Genomic DNA, 18,592 nt, shown 5'->3' with positions numbered 1-18,592 from the left:
ATCTAAAATATTTTTGTGCTCTGCTTATAATTTGAATGTGACTTCATATGTGTGTCATCTGTTGGACTAAATTGGATTGCAGTTGCTCTTCAAATTGTCATTCCTTTATTTTCTATTTCTACCTACCTCCTGATGTTAGCTCAGGTTCCTGCTACCAAGGTGTCTTGCAAAAAAATTTGGTGACTATTACTCTAAGTGAAGCCTTTGATACTTTCTCTTAATACAATGGTTAAACCTCTAACAACGTAGACTAATGAGGAAGATTAGTTTGAATTAGTAAAATGTCTGAATTACCAAATATTTTTCAAGAACTTCACTGTTATTACTTTTAAGTAAATACTGTAACTCAAACTAGGCTAATAGAATGCCTAATAAAGATCCTTAGGGGATCCTGCTTTAGGAGAGAAATAAGAATGATTTGCAATTAGTGCACCAATTGTTTATGTAAATGGAATTTCTGAAATACTAGACTGAGCTTGAAAACCGTTTGTTCCCTTAAGTATTTTAAATAGTCCCTACGGAACCCCTGTGCATGCTGGTAGTTGTTTATATGCTGTATAGAGACCTGTTTCATGAAGACATAACTCAACCTTATATCATCAGTATCAGAAATTCCAAGTTAGTGATGGCCAGGATCCTCACCTTCCAAGATTAGATTAGATCTCTCTGCCAAACGCTTCCATAGCACATGCAATTGTCTGTTGTAACACTAATCAATACATTTAACAAATATATGATGTATTCTGCTATATGCTTTGCCAGTGTGTGAAATGGAGGAGACATAACCCTCATCTTTGTGTAGTTTATAGGCTAGCAAAGAAGTCAGGCAGTAAACAAATAAATGCATTTATAATTAATTACAATCCTGAAGTTAGATTGTACTTTTGTAAGTAATGGTTTAATCAACTAGATTTTAAGTTCCATTAAGATAGGGGTTACTTCTGTGTTGTTTGTCATGGTGTCCCAAATCCTTCCTTAGCCTACTGCCTGGCATAGAGTAAATATTAAGTTGAGCTTTATTGCCATTTTGATAGGTCAGAAGCAGTCGAATGTCAATAATGTCACATAGTTCAACCTAATAGTTGCTCAGTCAATATGTATTGAATGTTGAATGCATGTTGTAATCAGTGATCCTATGGTAGGCTGCATTTCACACAGTTTTCTCTAGCCAAAGAAATGCTAGCTATGGTTTTGAAAAGGAATTCTAAAACTTCAAACAGCTAAAACTGGTGATATAGACTGTGGGACTGGAGATCTGTGAGACTGGAGTGCCTTTTGTCCAGTATATTTTCTATGCAGTTCTTGGTACATTTCCCAGCCTCAGGTGGGAGCATGTGTATTTGGGTCTGGAGTGCTTGTCAGTAGCCCAAAGAACCTGGGAAGAGTATGCTGGAAAGCTAAGATGGAAGGCAGGGATAGGAGCTGTTTGGCCTGAAGAAGAAAGTGGCAGGAAAGATATTGGCATAGCCAAAGAAGCCTTCCCTTTAAGTCCTAGTGTAGGGAGACTTACTTTTCCAGACCAGAGCTCATGAGATCATGCACTCATTCCACAGATTTGTGTGAGTCTGTGATGCGCTCAGTTATGGCTAGGCATGGGCGTTCCTTATTGTGAGCTTCCTTTTTGTGCCTGGAACTTCTGTCTGAAGGGTTGTGGGCTGGACTGTAGACCACTGGTCCTCAGAGGCAAGGGTTGAACTGAGGAGAAAGCCCCAGCTGGATCCTGCTGGGAGAAGCCCAGCACTCTGGCCTGGGGCCTGCTCCCTATCTGTGGAACTGGGAGTAGGGCCCAGGCTAGGGCTTAGATCAGAGCTTCCCAAACCTTCTGTGTTAAGAACGTTTTTGCATCTGTTTGGATTTCATGGCTGTTTTTCCATTTTCCGTGCACACATGTCCAATTGTACCACCCTATTATAATGCACACTCTTTTCTCACACCCACAGGATAATTTGTAGTTCCACAGCTATTTGTTGAGCATCCTCATCTGCCAGCACAGGATGGGGGTGGCAAGTGAGGGGAAACACAGATATGTGGTATTGGTCCCTGCCTGTGGTAGACGTGATTGGTTACCTACAGTGGCTCTTGTTTTCTCTTCCTGCTGGCAGGACCCAGTTGGGTTGGATGCCACACCTCTCCCACACGCCACTCAAGGAAAGGTGACCCTGCCTCCAGCTCTAGGGTATGTGCTGATTGAGCTGAGCCCATCCTGGAGGCCCGTAGTTTAGACATGGTTTTGGCCACTGAGGTATGAGAAGTCTGCTGGGAGATGCTGGGAAAGATGTTTTTCCTTGTAAAAGGAAATGCAGAAGGGACAGCTTCTTTCACTAGATTCTCGGACGTGAAGCAGCCATCTTGTTGCAATGAGGAAAGCAGGTTTGTTGAGGCCAGCAGACGGGAAGAGATGGGAAAAACCCTGAGGGCCAAGCCCCTGAAGACTGAACCGTCCAATCTCCATACATTTTGTCCTCACTGTTGAAGCCAGTTGAGTGGGAATTTTCTATTACTTATAGTCGAAGGCAACCTATATTAGACACTCCCTCAAAGGAGCATGAAATAGGATTTCTTCTTGTACCATTCAGATTATCATCAAAAAGCACATTATTCAGAGACAGAGCTTAGCTTTGTGGTAAGGCAGAAAGGAGAGGGGAAAGCAAGTTGGTAGGAAAGAGTTGAGTGAGGAGATTGTATTTTAAATGGGTCCTGAGGGAGGGTTAGGATTTGTGTGGGAGGAGCAGAAGGGCGTTCTGGGGAAAGGAATGGTGGCATGAGCAAACCTGTGAAGACAGGTATGGATGTGGCACTGCCGAAAAACAGGGAGATTATGTCCTGACTAATTCCATGGACAGATTCTAGAGCACCTCAAATTGTGAGTTTATATGGTGACACGTGACTTATGCAGCGGGAAAAGTATTGCAGGCTCATGAATGGGGGAGAAAGGAATGAAAGTGGGCCTTGGGAAGAAGGATAAGGATTAAGTAGCTGGGTACCAGGTTCTTTGGAAGGGGAAAAAAGTAAAAGGCCAGTGACAAGCTCAAGCTACTGAAATAACTCACATTTGAGTTGATAGCAGTGCGGGGAGGGAGTGAAGCTGTCAAAGGAAGATTGTAATAAATTAACTGGCAAAGAAGGGTAAGATGGATATCTAGGAGAGGAAGATGGAAGAGGAAGATTTTAGGAAGATGCTGTTTGCTTTTTGCCACTATGGCTTTGAGGTAATGAGGAAAGATCTAAGTAATGAGGCGTTGAATTCATTTGAAAATAGGGCTAGACTTTGGGAATGAGAGGCCAAGGGTTAAGAGGATGTGGTAGAGGCAACTCACTAGGCATGCACATACTCCAGATTTTCCAGCCTCCCTCACAGTTCAGTTGGGGCCATGTGACTAGTGTTAGTCAATGAAGTGGGAGAGGAAGGAACCAGGGAAGAGCCATGTATTCCTCCATTGATTCCTCCCATGCCACAGCAGCCTTGGGCTAGGGCCAGAAAGTGTGGCTGCCAAGACGGGGAGGGCTGTCCTTCCAGGACCAGACTTTGACGGTTGTTGCTCAGCTGGGAAATGCTGGTAGAAGCGAGATCTGAAGCTGTAATGGGTGGCAGTGCTGACAGCTATTTGTGTTGGGTCTGGGTGGTATGTGGTCTTCAGGGTACAGTTGTCCACCTTCTCCTGACTTGATTTGCTCAGGGGTCTGCATTCAATGGGCTGGAGCTTGCTGGCCGACTCATTCTACCTCTAGGACTCTCAGTGTTTCTGGGGGCAGGTTTACATCTTGGCTGTCCAGGGAAGGGGATCCTTGTTCATGAGCTGTGCTAGTGAGAAGGCTGCTCTCTCCACAGGCACCAGAATGCCAAGTGCCTTGCAGAGGAGAATGTTTGGGTGGCTGGTGTCCAGTGGTGACCAGGTGGAGCGTCTCAATTATCTGGCTAAACGTGGAGCTTCAGGAAGAAGTTCCAGATCTCCAGACTTGAATAAGAATAAGGTGCAAATCCCATCTTTCAAATCTTTCCCACTCTCAGAAGAGTCAAAATGTGCCTTTTCTGCAAGCAGTCCGGAGCTAGGCACTTTGCATACGCTTTGTTACAATGTTGCATCAATCTGGCCTGGCTGAATCACGGTGTTTTCCTAAGGGTAAAGGGCCCCGTGAGTGCTGGGAGGCCTTTGGCATCTGGTTTTCGTCAGGCAGCAGGTAAAAGTGCAGATGGCGGGTCTGATCGTGCTTTAAAAAAAGCAGAGTTAGAAACGTGGGAAAGGCATTTGAGAGGCACCTCTTAATCTGTGTGTGTGATCTCCCGTGCATCCTGTTTCTTCTCTAACCAAACACCTCAACTCCTAATACCCAGAGGAAAACCCTTCAGACTTGGGAGACAGCCGGCATTGCTGGCACTGGCCTCTCTGGAGCTTTTCTTGATAAGTTTGAAAATTTAAAGACAGTGGTGGCACTGTTTCTCTGTTGAATGGAGAGTTGACATTCTTATGTTTCCTTCCTCTTCTGCAAAACTGGGGTGTCATCAGATCAGTGTTTGCTGCTGCTGTTGCGTTCTTGGGTAGCCACTCTTTTTTTTTTTTTTTTTTTTTTTCAGAGGGAGTCTTGCTCTGTCGCCCAGGCTGGAGTGCAGTGGCCCAATCTCAGCTTATCGCAACCTCTGCCTCCCGGGTTCAAGCGATTCTCCTGCCTCGGCCTCCCGAGTAACTAGGATTACAGGCGTGTGCCATCACACCCGGCTAATTTTTGTATTTGTAGTAGAGACGGGGTTTCATCATGTTGGCCAGGCTGGTCTTGAACTCCTGACCTCAGGTGATCCTCCCGCCTTGGCCTCCCAAAGTGCTTGGATTACAGGCTTGAGCCACCGTGCCCAGTCAGCCACTCTTATTTTACACACTGCTTCTGGCTGATAGGCCTACAAGGTCTAAGCTTAATCCCAGGAAAAGTGCTACCCGAATGGTCTGTCAGTCAGCCTTTTGTTTGTTTGTCTCGTTCCGGTCATCCTTGCCTCTGTCCACCCAGACAACATTCAATCAACATTTGTTATGGAGCCAGCAGTATGATTTTGCAAGTTACTTTTCTAAACTCTCATTTCCTCATCTGTAAAATAATAGGAGATACTCATTAGGGTGATTCTAAGAGTTAAATGGAAACATCTGAGGAAAGCACTTAGCATCGGTCTGGCACATAGTAAGTGCTCAGTAAATGATGGTTGTCATTATTGTTGAGCAGAGCCAGGGGTTGCCACCCCGGTCAGCTGATTGGCTGTAGACATGGTGTGACCATATGGAGCTGGGATTTGGGCCACACTCAGCACATAGTTGTGATCCATAAATGCACAACCTTTGGACCCCATTGTCACCTCCCTTGGAATATCTTGGTGTTCTTGTTTCAGTCTGATAAGGCCATTGTAGCTGGGTTCTAGGTATCTCTGAGCATGGAGCACTCACGCCAGCCTCAGACATTGCTGTCAAGGGCATCAGCAGCAGTGAGGTGATTCCTCAGCCGGTCATTTGGGCATCGCTGCCTGGGTCTCTCCTGAGCTTCAGCTCATCTTTTTTGTCACCTGCCATACCTTTGCCTCTAAGTGTCCCCCAGTTTTTATTGCTGCCCTCTCCATCCGCACCAGTGCCTCTCTCTGCCAGTTCCACTGTTCTCTCGCCTGCTCTTTAGGATTTCCTTTGTTTTGCCTCCTTGCCTGGTGCTTTCAGCGAGCAGCGCTGACGTCATCTCAGGAACCGTGCTGCGTCTGAGAGAAGAACCTGCAGTAGCTGTTTAAGTGTGCGGTGCTGGCAGAGTACCTCCCTGAAGGTGTCCTGGGGAAAGTGAGTGATTGCTCACTGGGTGGTGAGCCAGGGGCAGGGTTTGGGGAGATATCTGCATTAGCAAGTTAGCATCACTTGAAACACAGGCATGTAACGGGCAAGGACGTGCTCTTCAGCTACCAGGCTGTCCTGGCTGGAGCCGGTGGCCACAGACCTGAGGGACCCCGGCTTTGTTCCCTTAGCTGGCTTTGTTCCCTTAAGCTGCCTTTGTTGTCTCAGTGTAGCTCTCTCTACCTCCTCTGTATTTCACCACTGACAACTCACTCGATTCTCCCTCTGGCAATCTTAGTTACCTGTGAATACTCTTTAACGCCATCTTCTGCCTTCTCAATGAATGAAGGAGATTCTCTCCTTGACTATTTGTGAGCCAAAACCTAACCTTCTCTTGGCTGATCAGTATTAATATATTGTGCTGAGAGGAAATTTTAGAGTAAAATTAGACATCAAAAAGAACTGGCACAATTAGTTTCCAAGCCGTTTAAGGTTCCTGGAAGTCTCCTGAATCCATCCTCTTTGTGGGGACCCACCCCAATTCTCCATCTTCCTCCTAAAAATAACGATAATGGCGTTTCACCAGAAGCCGGACAAAAGAATGCTCTGTCTGTTTCGCCTGTGGGAAGTGACAGGAACTGCTGAAACCTGTGTTCTGTGTCACAGAGCCAAGGGTTCACACAGTGCAGAAACAAATCACAGTGTGTCACGGAGACTTTTTCTGTCTCCGGCCCCACTCTGTATTTGAGCCCAAATGTGGAGGGAGATGCTGCAGTTGTGGGAAGGCACTTCCGTGACCCCTCATTATGGTAGAGGAAATGAGAGGCCTGAGGCCACAGCCAGGCTGGCCTTTTGCAAAATGGTCAAATCAGCAGCAATTTGGCCCTGGCTCCCACTTTGTGCCCCACCCACCAACTCCTGCTATCTCCCATCCCCACTCCCAGCGCAGTCGCGTCCATGGCTCCCAGGGCCCCACCAGGCTGCCCTCCCTGTCTGGCTGTGCTCAGCCGCTGTCCTGGTTCTCCCCAGCATTTCAGTACTTTCCTGAGTCCTCCTGCTGGTCCTTGACTTGGCTGGTTGGAAGGTTTGTGGATCATTAGAGCCACTTACTCACACTGAGGAAAGAAAACAGAAGTGGGTATTTGGGGAAGGCCTATGTGTTGCTTCCTCTGTGTGTTCACTCACATTTGCTGATTTCATCCCTACAGTTCCCCTGCCCGGGGAGTGTTATGCAGCCACCTGTACAAATGAAGCAGTTGAGACCCAGTAAGCTTGTGTGATTTCTCCAAGTCATAGCCAGCATGGGCCACTACTTTGAGCTCTAGATAAAGAAAAGGAACCTAGTGTTTTAAAGATTTGCTTCATTGTGGTATAATTTGCTTGCATACAACGGAACTCACCAGTTTAAAATATGTAATTCTTTGTTGACAAACATGAGCAGCCACACAACCACCACCTATCAAATATGGACCACTCCTCTGTCCCCAAAAAGTTCCCTTGTGCCTCCTTGCTACCAGCCCCTCTCCTGCCTCCAGGACCCCAGCCTCAGGGGACCTGAATCCTGCCACTACAGTTTTGCACTGTACAGAATGTGATGCACATGGCATCCTACAGTGTGTAGCCCTTTGAATCTGGCTTCTCTCGCTCAGCACAGTGCTTTTGAGATCCCTCCATGTTCTTGTGTGTATCTAGTTCACACCTTTTTATTGCTGAGTAGGGTTCCGTTTTATGGATATAGCACATTTTGTCCATCTCTTCACAAACTGATGGGCATTTGGGTTGTTTCCAGTTTGGGGCTACTATGAATACAGCTATTAGGATGTGTACAAGTCTTTGTGTGGACACAGGTTTTATTTCTCTTGGGTAAATACTTAGGAGTGGGATTGCTGGGTCATTTGGTAACTTTGAAAGAAACTACCAGACTGTTTTCCAAAGTGGCTGCACCATCCTACCTCCCCACCAGCCATGTATGAAGGGGACCGGGTACTTTTGATGCCTAATCTAGGTTCTTTTCCCTATACCATAGTGTCACTGGCTGCTGAGGTGCGAATTGCTGACTATCACATTCACATGCCCTGAGCCTGTCCTTTTCACAGGAATTTCTTGGAAAGTCTGACCATTTGGAGCCAGTTGCTGGTGGGGAGGTTTCCTGAGGAGGTCCTTTCATCACACAGGGCCGTCTCCTCTGATGGCTGATCACCACACACACCCTCCTTTGCTGCCCATCCTCTCTGCCGTCACCTTGGTTCATAATTAAGATTCACCTGTGGGTGACGTGGGACCCACTTGCAGCCCATGGACATTGGAACAGTCCATTCTGTGCAGTTCACTTCCTGGCTTTCATGGCACCTACTATGCTGGCTCCTGGCCAGAGATGGAGTTAGAGGTGTCCTGTCCCAAATGAACCTGCATGCAGAAGCCACTGGGGCAGTGGGGACACTGCCTCAGCATCATCACAGCTGCCAGAGGCTGAATTGCTGCTGTGCAGGGCTGTGTGGAACTGCTGCTGTTATATGCGCATCTCCGGTCTGGAGCTTGCTGCTCAGGGCTCTCCTTAACAAGCGGCCAAATGACTGCAGTTTTCTGCATTGCTTTCCTGTGAGGTCCCTGATGTTTTGAAAGAGTCAAAACCAGACAGGGATGCTATCAGGTTGCAGTTCTGCTCTGTTGTGGTGTTTCTGTGAAATGGAGAGGAGGATTTTGAGGAATGTGTAGTTGGGTTTACTTTTGTCTTTATTTGTGGGCATGTTTCCTGAGTGAGGACCACTGATAATTAGGTGTTCTTTGGTGTAGGGGCCCAGATGGACAGCGTGGACCCCTTTCTAAGGGATTGTTGTCACAGTGAGAGGGCTGAGCACTGAAGTTTATCTTGCAGCATGCGTGCTGGGAGCAGCCCCTCCAAATTGGTGCACGTGTTTGGGGAGGGCAGAGACCAGGGCACAGACTGGCTGGCAAACTCGCCTGCTGGGCTGAAGAGTTCTGACCTTGCAACTGGAAGCTCTGCTTTCCTGCCCTTTCCCTGATTCCTGCTAATTTTATGACCTTTCATCAGTCACCTGACCTTTCTGGACTTCAGCGTCCTCACTGTATAATAGAAAGAATGATCCCTCTTTCACAGGGATTGGAGGATCTGCCGCGTGTCAAAGCCCTTTCTACACCTGTGACAACACAAGACGTGCCCGTAAACACCTTTCTGAGCATGGGTGTGGCAGAAGGCCAAGCTCACACCCAGAAAGCCACCTGCCCTTCTGCTCCTTATCCTTGTCAGTCGCTGTGCCTGCATCCCCAGGAGGACCTCACGGGACTGGGAGGGCCTGGGACAGGCTGGCCTCAGATCACCAGGCATTGAGACCTCCTGCTAGCCTCAGGCTGACAGTAATAAATGTACAAAAGAGGACAGAGCTGCTGAGGAGCGGCTGGGAGTCCAGACACAAAGGACTGTCGGAGGAGTGAGTCAGGGCCTCTGAAGGTCACTTGAGGAGTGTCCGCCCTGAATCATTGACCTGCGGCATGAATGGAGAAGTAGCTGGGATACCAGCCCTGGGGCAGTTCCATTGGGTGGATCTTTAGAAGAGAGAGGTGGCGTGGGAGGGGTAAGAGCACTGATTTGGGAATCAGAGACCTGGGTTCTTTAAGTCAATTTATCCAGGACTAGCTGTGTGGCCTTGGGCAGGTTGACAGCAGTTTCCTTTCTGTGAAATGATCAACTCCAGAACTATTGATACCTGTCACATTGTGTTTGGGGAATGAGGCTCAACAGCTGAGCCTGCACCATGACCCCGGTGCCTCTCCCCCATCCCCCTGCGCCTTTTGGACCAAGAAGTGCAGGCACAGATAGAGCTTTCAAGCCTCTTTTGTTCCTGGATGGTGGATCCCTGTGGTTAATGAATAATTGCTTTAGGGGCAGAGGTGAGGGGAGTGAGTATTGCAAGTGAAGATGGGTGGGACAGGGAGGTTCCAGGTGGTGAAATATTTTCAGGCAACAATCTGCAGAGAAACTTGACCATGACTCAGCTAAGCAGTGGGCTCACTGGCAGGTGGCCCTGGTGGCCCCCTGCTGACATCTGCTACTACTGTGTGCTTCCAAGGCCCAGCGAGCAGCACCGGTGATTGATGATACTACAGCGCATCCCAGGAGCTGGTATCCCAGGGCAGCGCTGCACCTGCTGGCAGCCAAACCCTTCGGGGCAGGACACCGGCCCACAGCCTCGGAGCGCCCAGTTCCAACCATCAATTTTAATTCTTGTGAGGCTTTTCTTTTTCACATTTGGTTACCCTGTTGAACCAATCTGCTTCTTCCCACCAGTATGACAGTTTTTAGCTCAGTTCCAGGCCAAATTTTGCACTGGCCCGAGTCCCACTGTTTGTTTCTTTCATGTGTATCTTTTACATCCTGGGAGCCCTGACCGACTCCCAGTGCCTGAGCCCCTTCCCCTAAGCATGAGGACTCCCGCCTCAGGTCTGCCCTGTTCCAGCTGCTGGAAGGCATCCAGAATTCTAATGTTATTCATCATAGTTGCAGTTTCACTACAAAGCATATGGTTTGACCTCTTATCCTTACTAAGTCATTTCAGACTTAGGGAAAAAATACCCACTTAAGATAATTCTTTTACCAAAAAATTTTGTGTTTTTTTTTCTAATAAGAGGTAATTCATGCACATGTTAAAAATCAAAAGCAGATGTGAGGTGTGTGGGAAAAAAATGAAATGTTCTATATTTCAAAGTAAAACTTTGGGTGACAAAAACTTCAGTGATTTTTAATGGTGATTATAATATCAATAGTACTTTTGAAATCAGATGTTGGGCTGGGGCACAGTGGCTCATGCTTGTAATCCCAGCACTTTGGGAGGCTGAGGTGGGAGGATCACTGGAGCCCAGGAGTTCGAGACGCTGTCTCTCCAAACAAACAAACAGACAAACAGACAAACAAACAAACAAACTCAGGAGTTTGAAGCTGCAGTGAGCTATTATTATACCCCTGCACTCCAGCCTGGGCTACAGAATCAGACCCAGTCTCAAAAAAAAAAAAAAGAAAGAAATCTGATAACACTTTATTTGATGCTGCAGTGTTGTAAAGGATCATCAGACACACAAATTTGATAATTAAATAATGTTCCTAAGTCTTCTGATTGAAATAATAACACAATGCAAAATCTCTTTTCCTGGCTTCCCTTCCTGGTCTTCCTTTTGTCCTCTCTTCCTGCCAGCTCTGCTCTCTGCCCATTCTGAACGGCTGTCTGCTGCAGTGATCAGTGCTCTTCTTTGGATGTTCTTTGCCCAGATGCTTTATGGCATTTCCTTCTTTTAATTTTCTTTCTTTCTTTCTTTCTTCTTTGTTTTCTTTCTTCTTCTTCTTTTTTTTTTTTTTTTTGAGACAGAGGCTTGCCCTGTTGCCCAGGCTAGAGTGCAATGGCACGATCTTGGCTCACTGCAACCTCTGCCTCCTGGGTCCAAGCGATTCTCGTGCCTCAGCCTCCTCAATAGCTGGGATTACACACCACCATACCCAGCTAATTTTTGTATTTTTAGTAGAGGTGGGGTTTCCCCATGTTGACCAGCTGGTCTTTAATTCCTGACCTCAAGTGATCCTCTGCCATGGCCTTCCAAAGTGCTGGAATTACAGGCGTGAGCCACCACGCCCTGTTCTTCTTTTAATTTCTATTGTGAAAAATTTCAAATATGTACCAAAGTGGAGAGAGCAGGATAATTAACCCTCATACACTCATCACCTAGTTCCAACAATTATCAGCTCATGTCCAATCTTATCTGTACCGTCACTCCCGTACCCTCCCTGTAGAATTTTCAAGAAAATCCAAGGAACACCTGGTGTATTCCCACATGTTAATGAAAACTCTTGTTGATTAAGCTGCACTTATTAGTAATTTATTTTCCCATTTAAAATTAATTTTCAGAATACCAAGAAGGCACCATTTCATCCTTATATCTGATTGGTGAAAAGTGTAGTAGTCAAATAGTACCAAGGTTGACAAAGACATCAAAGAATAGAAACACTTAAACACTGATCTTGGCAATGTAAATTGGTGCACTGATGTTGCAGAGCAATTTGGGCAATGCCTAGTGTGGTTGAAGATACCCTTGGATGAAGATTTACAAGAATATTTATTGCAATGAAAAGTTGGAAACCACTTAAAAATTTATCAGTAGGAAAATGAATACATTGTGCTATAGATAATGATTATCCAGACAGTGGACCATGGTATAAAGCAGTTGAAAGGAATGCCCTGGAGTGACATATGTCAACAAGGATTACCCTCAAAAATGTTTTGTCAATTAAAACAGATGCAAAAGGGTGCATACAGTGTGATGCCATTTTAAACAGTTTTATAGCATCCAAAAACTCTATATATTATGGCTACATACATAGGTAGTAAAAGCATAAAAATAAATGTGCAAGAGTGGTAAATACCAAATTCGGGATGTTGTCATTTCTGGGATGGGTGGAATAGTGGGGCTTGAAAGGGGGTGAAATAGGGATTGAAGCACAGCCTGTAATGCTTTCTTTCTTGAAAGGAAAAATAAAAAAACTAAACCAGGTGTGGCAAAATGTTAAGATTTGACAAGTCCGGGATGTGCACAGACATTTGTTATACATGTGTCTGTGTAAATGGTTCCTTATTCAGAAATGAAAAATCTGTAATTGTTCATCTTCTGATAAACTTGCAATGGCTGCTGTTGTCACATGATGTCATTTTCTTGACTGGAGCTAAGAAACTTGGCATTTTTTGTTATTTAATCCTGAGAAAATGCATATTTTCTTCTTTCTTCCTTCCTTTCTTTCTTTCTTTTTTTTTTTTTTTTGAGATGGAGTCACACTGTTGCTCAGGCTGGAGTGCCGTGGTGCCATCTCGGCTCATTGCAACCTCTGTCTCCTGGGTAAGGGTTCAATCGATTCTCCTGCCTCAGTCTCCTGAGTAGCTGGGATTACAGGTGCCTGCCACCAAGCCCAGCTAATTTTTGTGTTTTCAGTAGAGACGGGGTTTCACCATGTTGGCCAGATTGGTCTTGAACTCCTGACCTCAAGTGATTCGCCCAACTTGGCCTCCCAAAGAAAGTGCATATTTTCTTTGTCATCTTATGATAGTAGATCATGGAGCTCCTTTAACTTAATGGATTCCTAGAGGCCAGTGACTCCTGATATTTTCCAGACACTTATAGCTAGAAAAAGCCAAGTAATGAAGCTCTGATGCTTTGACTTGCTTTGACTTAACAAGCTTAGGGAAGAAGCAATGACACTGTATTTTCTTTCTTTTTGAGAGAAGGTAAGAACAGCATGAAAGGAGAAGGCAGAGGAGGAGGATCCCTTCTTGCCTCTGTGTAGACCGATCCTAGATGCAGCTTCCTTCTGTCATCTGCAGGTGGTTGGGACCTGTCTCCACACCTGTGGTTTGCTCAGGAGTAGGGAGGACAGGCCTGAGAGGAAAAAGGACTTGAACTGGGCTTTGTAAAGGCACAGTAGAATTTAGGTAGATAATGAGGAGTGGTTGAATAGATGTGTCACGGAATTAAGGGCCCATCTTTAGCAAGACACAAACCCTTTAAGACCTGGTCCTGCCTGTCCATCTTCACTTCTTAGTACCCATCTCTGTCCACCCTCCCCTTCCAGCCAGACCCAGTATTGGCCCTATTGGCGAGCTCACCTTTGTCCTCTGGCCTTGGCTTTGCACGTGCCCTGACTTCTCACATGGAAGGGAATGAGTGCCTGTGCCTCACCTGTCCCTGGGCTGCCTGCCAGGCTCCTGCATACTCCCAGACTCTGATTGCGGCAATCTCCCAAGGAATGCACCTCCTGATTTTCCAGGCTGACCACCCTTCTGTAGCACCTGGTACAGTTAGTTGCCTTGTTCTTAATTCTATACTTGTCTTCCTACCTGTGACTTTTTTCCTGGGCAGTGGTGCAGCTGGAATGGTTCAGCATGCATGCAGACTTTTCACGTGACCCTGGGCAGATACTTAATCTTGGGGTGCCACACTCATCTGCAGGTGGGGATGGAATGGTACCCAACTCCTGTTGTAGTTGTGAGGGTTAAACATTGTAACACATATAAAGCAATTAGGGGAGGGCCTGGCAAGACTCTGCTGTAGGAGTTAGCTGGTCCTATTGCTGTTTTCCCCATTTCTTCCTTTTCTCTTTTTCTCTCTTCCTCTTCTTTTTTCTTTTCCATCTTGTTTTTAGCTCACCAACACAAGAGATGGAAAACGATGTAAGCATAGCCTTTAGGTGTGAATGACTCCTGGTCAACTTGGAGGAAATGGCAAAATCCAGTAAGACGTACCGGGAATGTTTGGAGGGAGTGGTGGGTGTCAGAGTGAGTAGGTGGAGTGGGGCCAGACTTTAGAAGCCTTGGATACCAAGACACGGAGTTTGGACTTGATGTGATTGGCAAAGTGGAATCTCCGGCCATTGTTTATCTGGTGAGAAACTGCTGTGGGAGACCTGTATGGCAGTAGTTTACTGAGTGGACTGGCAAGAGTAGGGAAAAGAGTGGCAGTAGGAGACTAACTTTAAAATATGCTGAAGACCTTTAATATTGAAGAGCAGCGTGGCTGGATTAGGCAGTTGACAAGTGGCACTGACACAGGAGAGACTAGAGAGAGAGGAGCAGGACTCCTTGGCTTGATGAAAGAACAAAAGAGAGGGAGCTACAATCTTTGGCTTTGAGATTTGTAGCTAGTTGGACTGCAGGAAACCACAAAAAGAGTGAGGGTAGCTGGAATAACATATTTTTGTTTTATTTTTAAGATGTGTGGGATGGCCTAGGATTTGGCATCAAAGTTGGTGTGTTTATTGAGTATAGTTACTGTGGATGCCAGCAAGAAGGAGAGCGATCCGATATATTTACAGGCAGGACAAGAGCAGCCCACATCCGTAAGCAGGAAAACAGTGTGGCCAAGTATTGTTTTCAGACTTCTTTGGCTGCGTTAGCATGCTGGAGGGTTCTGTCCTTGACCTTTCTGAATTGACTATTGTGTTTGGTGAAAGTAGAGGTCACACTCATCTGAATCACCTAAAGTCATCTGTATGACTTTAAGGCAAGAAGGAACAGCAAGTGTGTAGGTTGGCAAGTAAGATAAAAAACAGTCCGGATGAGACAGACTGATGGCCTGGCCCTGTTGATGGAACAAGGGTGAATGCAAGGTTTTGAATCCAGCTGCAAAGTGTAGGAGGGGGAGGCTGTGGGAAGGATGGAGGGTTTTAGTTGGCAGGTGTCTGCCACGTGATGTGGCCTCTAAACAGCCATCTTGTCTGCACTGAAAGAAGGTGGTCTGCTTGCTTCATCCTTGTCCACAAGCTGGTCAGGCCACTTGTGGAGAATAGCATGCAGTTCTAGGCAGTACACTCTGAAGGACGGAAACAAACTGGAACCTGTTTGTAAGACACAGGGAAAGGAAATGAACCCATAGAACATGAGCTCCTTCAGGGTAAAGATTGCTCGTTTGCATCTCTCTGAAGCTTTAGTGCCTACCTACATCAGTGTCCAGGCCTAGTATGTGCTCACCTGTTGTCCATTGAATAAATAAGAGATTGGGGTTGTCCTGTATCCAGGACCCCTGAGCCCAATTTGAGTTCAAAGTAAAGAAGAACTTTCGAATAGTGCTTTCCCCTGGCTGCCATTAGTGGGAATGTGCATCTGCACGCAGGATGTCCACAGGCACAGGGGAGTCAAGCTTAGGTGGGTGGTTAGACCGGTGGGCCTCAAGATTCCATCACTCTCTCCATGCGCTGGACTCTTTGATGGGAGAGAGTAAGGGAGCGTGAGTAAAAGTCCGTGATCAGTGAGGGTGGCCAGGAGCAAGTCGATTTGTAAATGAATGTGCTGGCAAACTTCCTTACAAAGGCACTCCCCCAACAATTTTTTATAATTTCTAGATAAAATGCCCTGATTTGAAAGAAAGTCAAGTAGAATTTGAGTTAATAGCGTGAATTGCAGTCCCATCTGCTCAGCTCCACGGCCCGGTAGATCTGTGGAGCCATTTGTCACAATTTGTTTTAAAGCCAGGAAGAAAAACACTCCTGGACACTGCCCAACGCTTCTCACGGAGATGCTGTCTTTGGAGTGTGGAAGGGGTGGGGTGGGTGGTGAGAAAGCTGGGTGGGACAGAAGGAGGGCCCTGTGCTTTGAGGCAAAAGACAGGGTTCCAGCCCCTCTTCACTGGCTTGCTCGTGACCTTGGGTGAGTCATGCAGCTTTTCAGGCCTCGCTCCTGGTGTAGAAGGGCTAGACAGATCACAGCTTCTCCAAGTCTGGGCCAGATGACTGTTCATTCTTTCCTCCATTCACCTAATATTTTTGAGCTCTGTTTAGGTGCCACACACCGTTCTAGGAGCTGGGGATTCAGCAGTGCCAATACTTTTTCTAGTTTTAAGACTGGATGCTAAGAACATCATTGTCTACTTCATGCTATTGGAGAGCAGCAGTTCTTCCAGGCATAAGAACCTGGAAGAACGAGTTTGCATGAAAACTGTCCTGAGCTCGGGAAAGGCTGTCACCAGCCTTCCTCTTGACGTGCTTGAGGCCAAAAAGGGGAGATAGGGCCAACTCAGAGTGCATGAAAACCAAGCCGTGAAGAGTGGATAGCTGAAAAGATGCCTGTGAAAGCAACTTTGATCAGGGAAGGAATGGTGGACTCGGTATGGGGAATTCTTCTTGGGAAGGTGATTGTGGAGCGGCTCTCAGGAGACAAGAGGCTTTGTTTGATGACTGGCAAAGGCCTTTTGAGAGGGTGTGGTCGGGGTGATGGCTGGCACCTGTGAGGAAGACAGTTGTTCTGGCGAGTGGAGGTGTACTGGGAAAGGGTGTTCCAGGAGAATTACCAGTTGATTCATCCCACAAACATTTATTGGGCACCTACTGTCTGAAATGCAAGGGGACACACAAAGATGAGTTAAGGATTTGACTTAAGGCACAACACAACACAACACAACACAAGGCAGGAATGGTTGCCTGCATAAGGCACTGACTGAGGAAGGTTCCCTAGCAGAGATGACGGATGAGCTGGGCCTTAAAGTATGAGTGGGCATTGGCTGGGCGTGGGGTGGAGAAAAGGCCTTTCCAGATGAAGGGCTCTGAAATGCTTTATGAGTTTGCCTTGGCAGAGACCAGAGACCCCATAACCAGATGCTGTTCATTTGATTCTTGGAATCATGGGAATACTTCAGTGTCCCAAAAAGAAGATGCCGTTACAATGTTTGAAGATGACATTCTTTGTGCTTAAGCTGCCTTAAGCCTTTTCTTAAACAGCCTGGATGTGCAGCAAAAAAGAGTCCTTTCTGCCCCGTGTTGTAGGGCATTGGAAAGGATGACGTACTGGGAGGTGGCTGATGCAGCCTCCAGTGCAGAGGCCTGGAAAAGTGGATGATCTGTGGCTACAGGAGGGAGAGGTTAGGGTGGGTGAAGAAGCATTATGAATGAGCAGAATCTAGGAACACTCCATGGGTGAGGGTCATATTAAGAAATGAGAGAAGGGCACAGACTACTCTATGCCAGGAAGAGAACTGGGGAAGGCCAACTATAACAGGGATTGTTTTGGAGGAATGGATAGTGTAGACAGTCACAGTGAATTTGTTTAAACAAATATCTGGAATTGGTGACTCAAGGGCTTGGTCAAGCTCAGTGGCAAAAAATCAGTGAGAACAGGAACATGAAGTAAGTTAGAGATGGGGCCTAGACGTTTGGGATTCTACTGTTTAGAAGCAGGTGTTGCAGTTATCCAGTGCTGCATAACAAATCATCCCAAATCATAGTGGCTTAAAGCAAAAATTAGTTTATTCTCTTTCATGAAGTCTGTATGTCAACATCAGGAAGGGCTGGGCTCGTGGTTCTGGCTCAGTCTTTCATGGGGTTGCAGTCAGATAGTGGCTGGGGCTGGGACACTAGAGAGCTGGAGCAGTGGAGACTGGCATCTCATTCTCTTCACCTCGTCTCTCCTGTGGGCTAGCTTGGGCTTCCTTATAGTGTGGTGGGCTCAGAGCAGGCAGATGGCTTACACAGCAGCTCGGGCTCCAAGTGTGTGTCCCAGGATTGCTGGCAGAAGCTGCATTCCCTTTTTGTGACCTAGCCTTAAGGTCACAGAGTGTCACTTCTACCAGAGCTGTAGCCCACCTAGATTCAGAGAGAGGAAACACAGGTTCTGCCCTCTCGATGGAAGGAGTGTCAAAGTCATGGGTAAGCAGAGCAGGCATGGGAGATGTCATTGCAAGCCAACTTTGGGAAATACATTTTGTCTCCGGTGGGGAAATTGCATGAACAAATGAACTCCCTCATAGCAGAGAATGGAGAGTACCACCTGAGATTTGATGGGCAAACTGAGAACTGGGAGAGAAGCAAGAGAGGAGGCAGCGAGTGACTGAGGAGATGTGGGCAGGGAGAGAGGAGGAAAGCCAGGCGATGTTCTGGGCATGAAGCCAGGCTTGCTGTGGGTGCTCCAAGGCAGATGTGAACGAGTGAGGATGGGAAAGAAGTGGGGTTGGCCAGGACCATGGGAACACGTGGCTCTTGTTTTTCAGTTGTTCTCTCCACTAGCTGGAGCCTACCCTTTTTTCCTCTTAGATTTTTAAACAGCGTTTTATTAGGAGAAATTTAAAATTATCCTTGTCTTTTTTATACTGTCTCCTCATTTTGCTTTGTCGTGGCACGTGTTTTTACACATTTATTTTTGAATAGGTAATGCATTCACATGCGTTCAATTAAAAAGGATACCAAAGAATGTACACAGTGCAAATTAAGTCTGCTTCTGACCTAATTCTTCCAGAGACCATCGCCGTTACTGGTTTCATGTGTG

The 18,592-nt window shown here is 46.5% G+C and overlaps 7 annotated features.

Annotated features, from left to right (window-relative positions):
* Positions 5,720-6,223: an enhancer, noted in NCBI's record as "NANOG-H3K27ac-H3K4me1 hESC enhancer chr22:18812019-18812522 (GRCh37/hg19 assembly coordinates)". NCBI's record gives its function as "activates a minimal SCP1, AML or CMV promoter by ChIP-STARR-seq in primed H9 embryonic stem cells {active_cell/tissue: H9 hESC(primed)}" and the evidence as "EXISTENCE:reporter gene assay evidence [ECO:0000049][PMID:30033119]".
* Positions 6,728-7,232: an enhancer, noted in NCBI's record as "H3K4me1 hESC enhancer chr22:18811010-18811514 (GRCh37/hg19 assembly coordinates)". NCBI's record gives its function as "activates a minimal SCP1, AML or CMV promoter by ChIP-STARR-seq in primed H9 embryonic stem cells {active_cell/tissue: H9 hESC(primed)}" and the evidence as "EXISTENCE:reporter gene assay evidence [ECO:0000049][PMID:30033119]".
* Positions 7,552-8,065: an enhancer, noted in NCBI's record as "OCT4-H3K4me1 hESC enhancer chr22:18810177-18810690 (GRCh37/hg19 assembly coordinates)". NCBI's record gives its function as "activates a minimal SCP1, AML or CMV promoter by ChIP-STARR-seq in naive H9 embryonic stem cells {active_cell/tissue: H9 hESC(naive)}" and the evidence as "EXISTENCE:reporter gene assay evidence [ECO:0000049][PMID:30033119]".
* Positions 8,066-8,579: an enhancer, noted in NCBI's record as "OCT4-H3K27ac-H3K4me1 hESC enhancer chr22:18809663-18810176 (GRCh37/hg19 assembly coordinates)". NCBI's record gives its function as "activates a minimal SCP1, AML or CMV promoter by ChIP-STARR-seq in naive and primed H9 embryonic stem cells {active_cell/tissue: H9 hESC(naive and primed)}" and the evidence as "EXISTENCE:reporter gene assay evidence [ECO:0000049][PMID:30033119]".
* Positions 8,580-9,093: an enhancer, noted in NCBI's record as "H3K27ac-H3K4me1 hESC enhancer chr22:18809149-18809662 (GRCh37/hg19 assembly coordinates)". NCBI's record gives its function as "activates a minimal SCP1, AML or CMV promoter by ChIP-STARR-seq in primed H9 embryonic stem cells {active_cell/tissue: H9 hESC(primed)}" and the evidence as "EXISTENCE:reporter gene assay evidence [ECO:0000049][PMID:30033119]".
* Positions 9,094-9,609: an enhancer, noted in NCBI's record as "NANOG-H3K27ac-H3K4me1 hESC enhancer chr22:18808633-18809148 (GRCh37/hg19 assembly coordinates)". NCBI's record gives its function as "activates a minimal SCP1, AML or CMV promoter by ChIP-STARR-seq in primed H9 embryonic stem cells {active_cell/tissue: H9 hESC(primed)}" and the evidence as "EXISTENCE:reporter gene assay evidence [ECO:0000049][PMID:30033119]".
* Positions 9,610-10,123: an enhancer, noted in NCBI's record as "NANOG-H3K27ac-H3K4me1 hESC enhancer chr22:18808119-18808632 (GRCh37/hg19 assembly coordinates)". NCBI's record gives its function as "activates a minimal SCP1, AML or CMV promoter by ChIP-STARR-seq in primed H9 embryonic stem cells {active_cell/tissue: H9 hESC(primed)}" and the evidence as "EXISTENCE:reporter gene assay evidence [ECO:0000049][PMID:30033119]".

This window comes from Homo sapiens, chromosome 22 (assembly GCF_000001405.40).
Source record: "Homo sapiens chromosome 22, GRCh38.p14 Primary Assembly".
Classification (NCBI taxonomy): Eukaryota; Metazoa; Chordata; class Mammalia; order Primates; family Hominidae; genus Homo; species Homo sapiens.
Note: the sequence above shows the minus strand (reverse complement) of the source record. Positions and strands in the feature narration are given on the sequence as shown.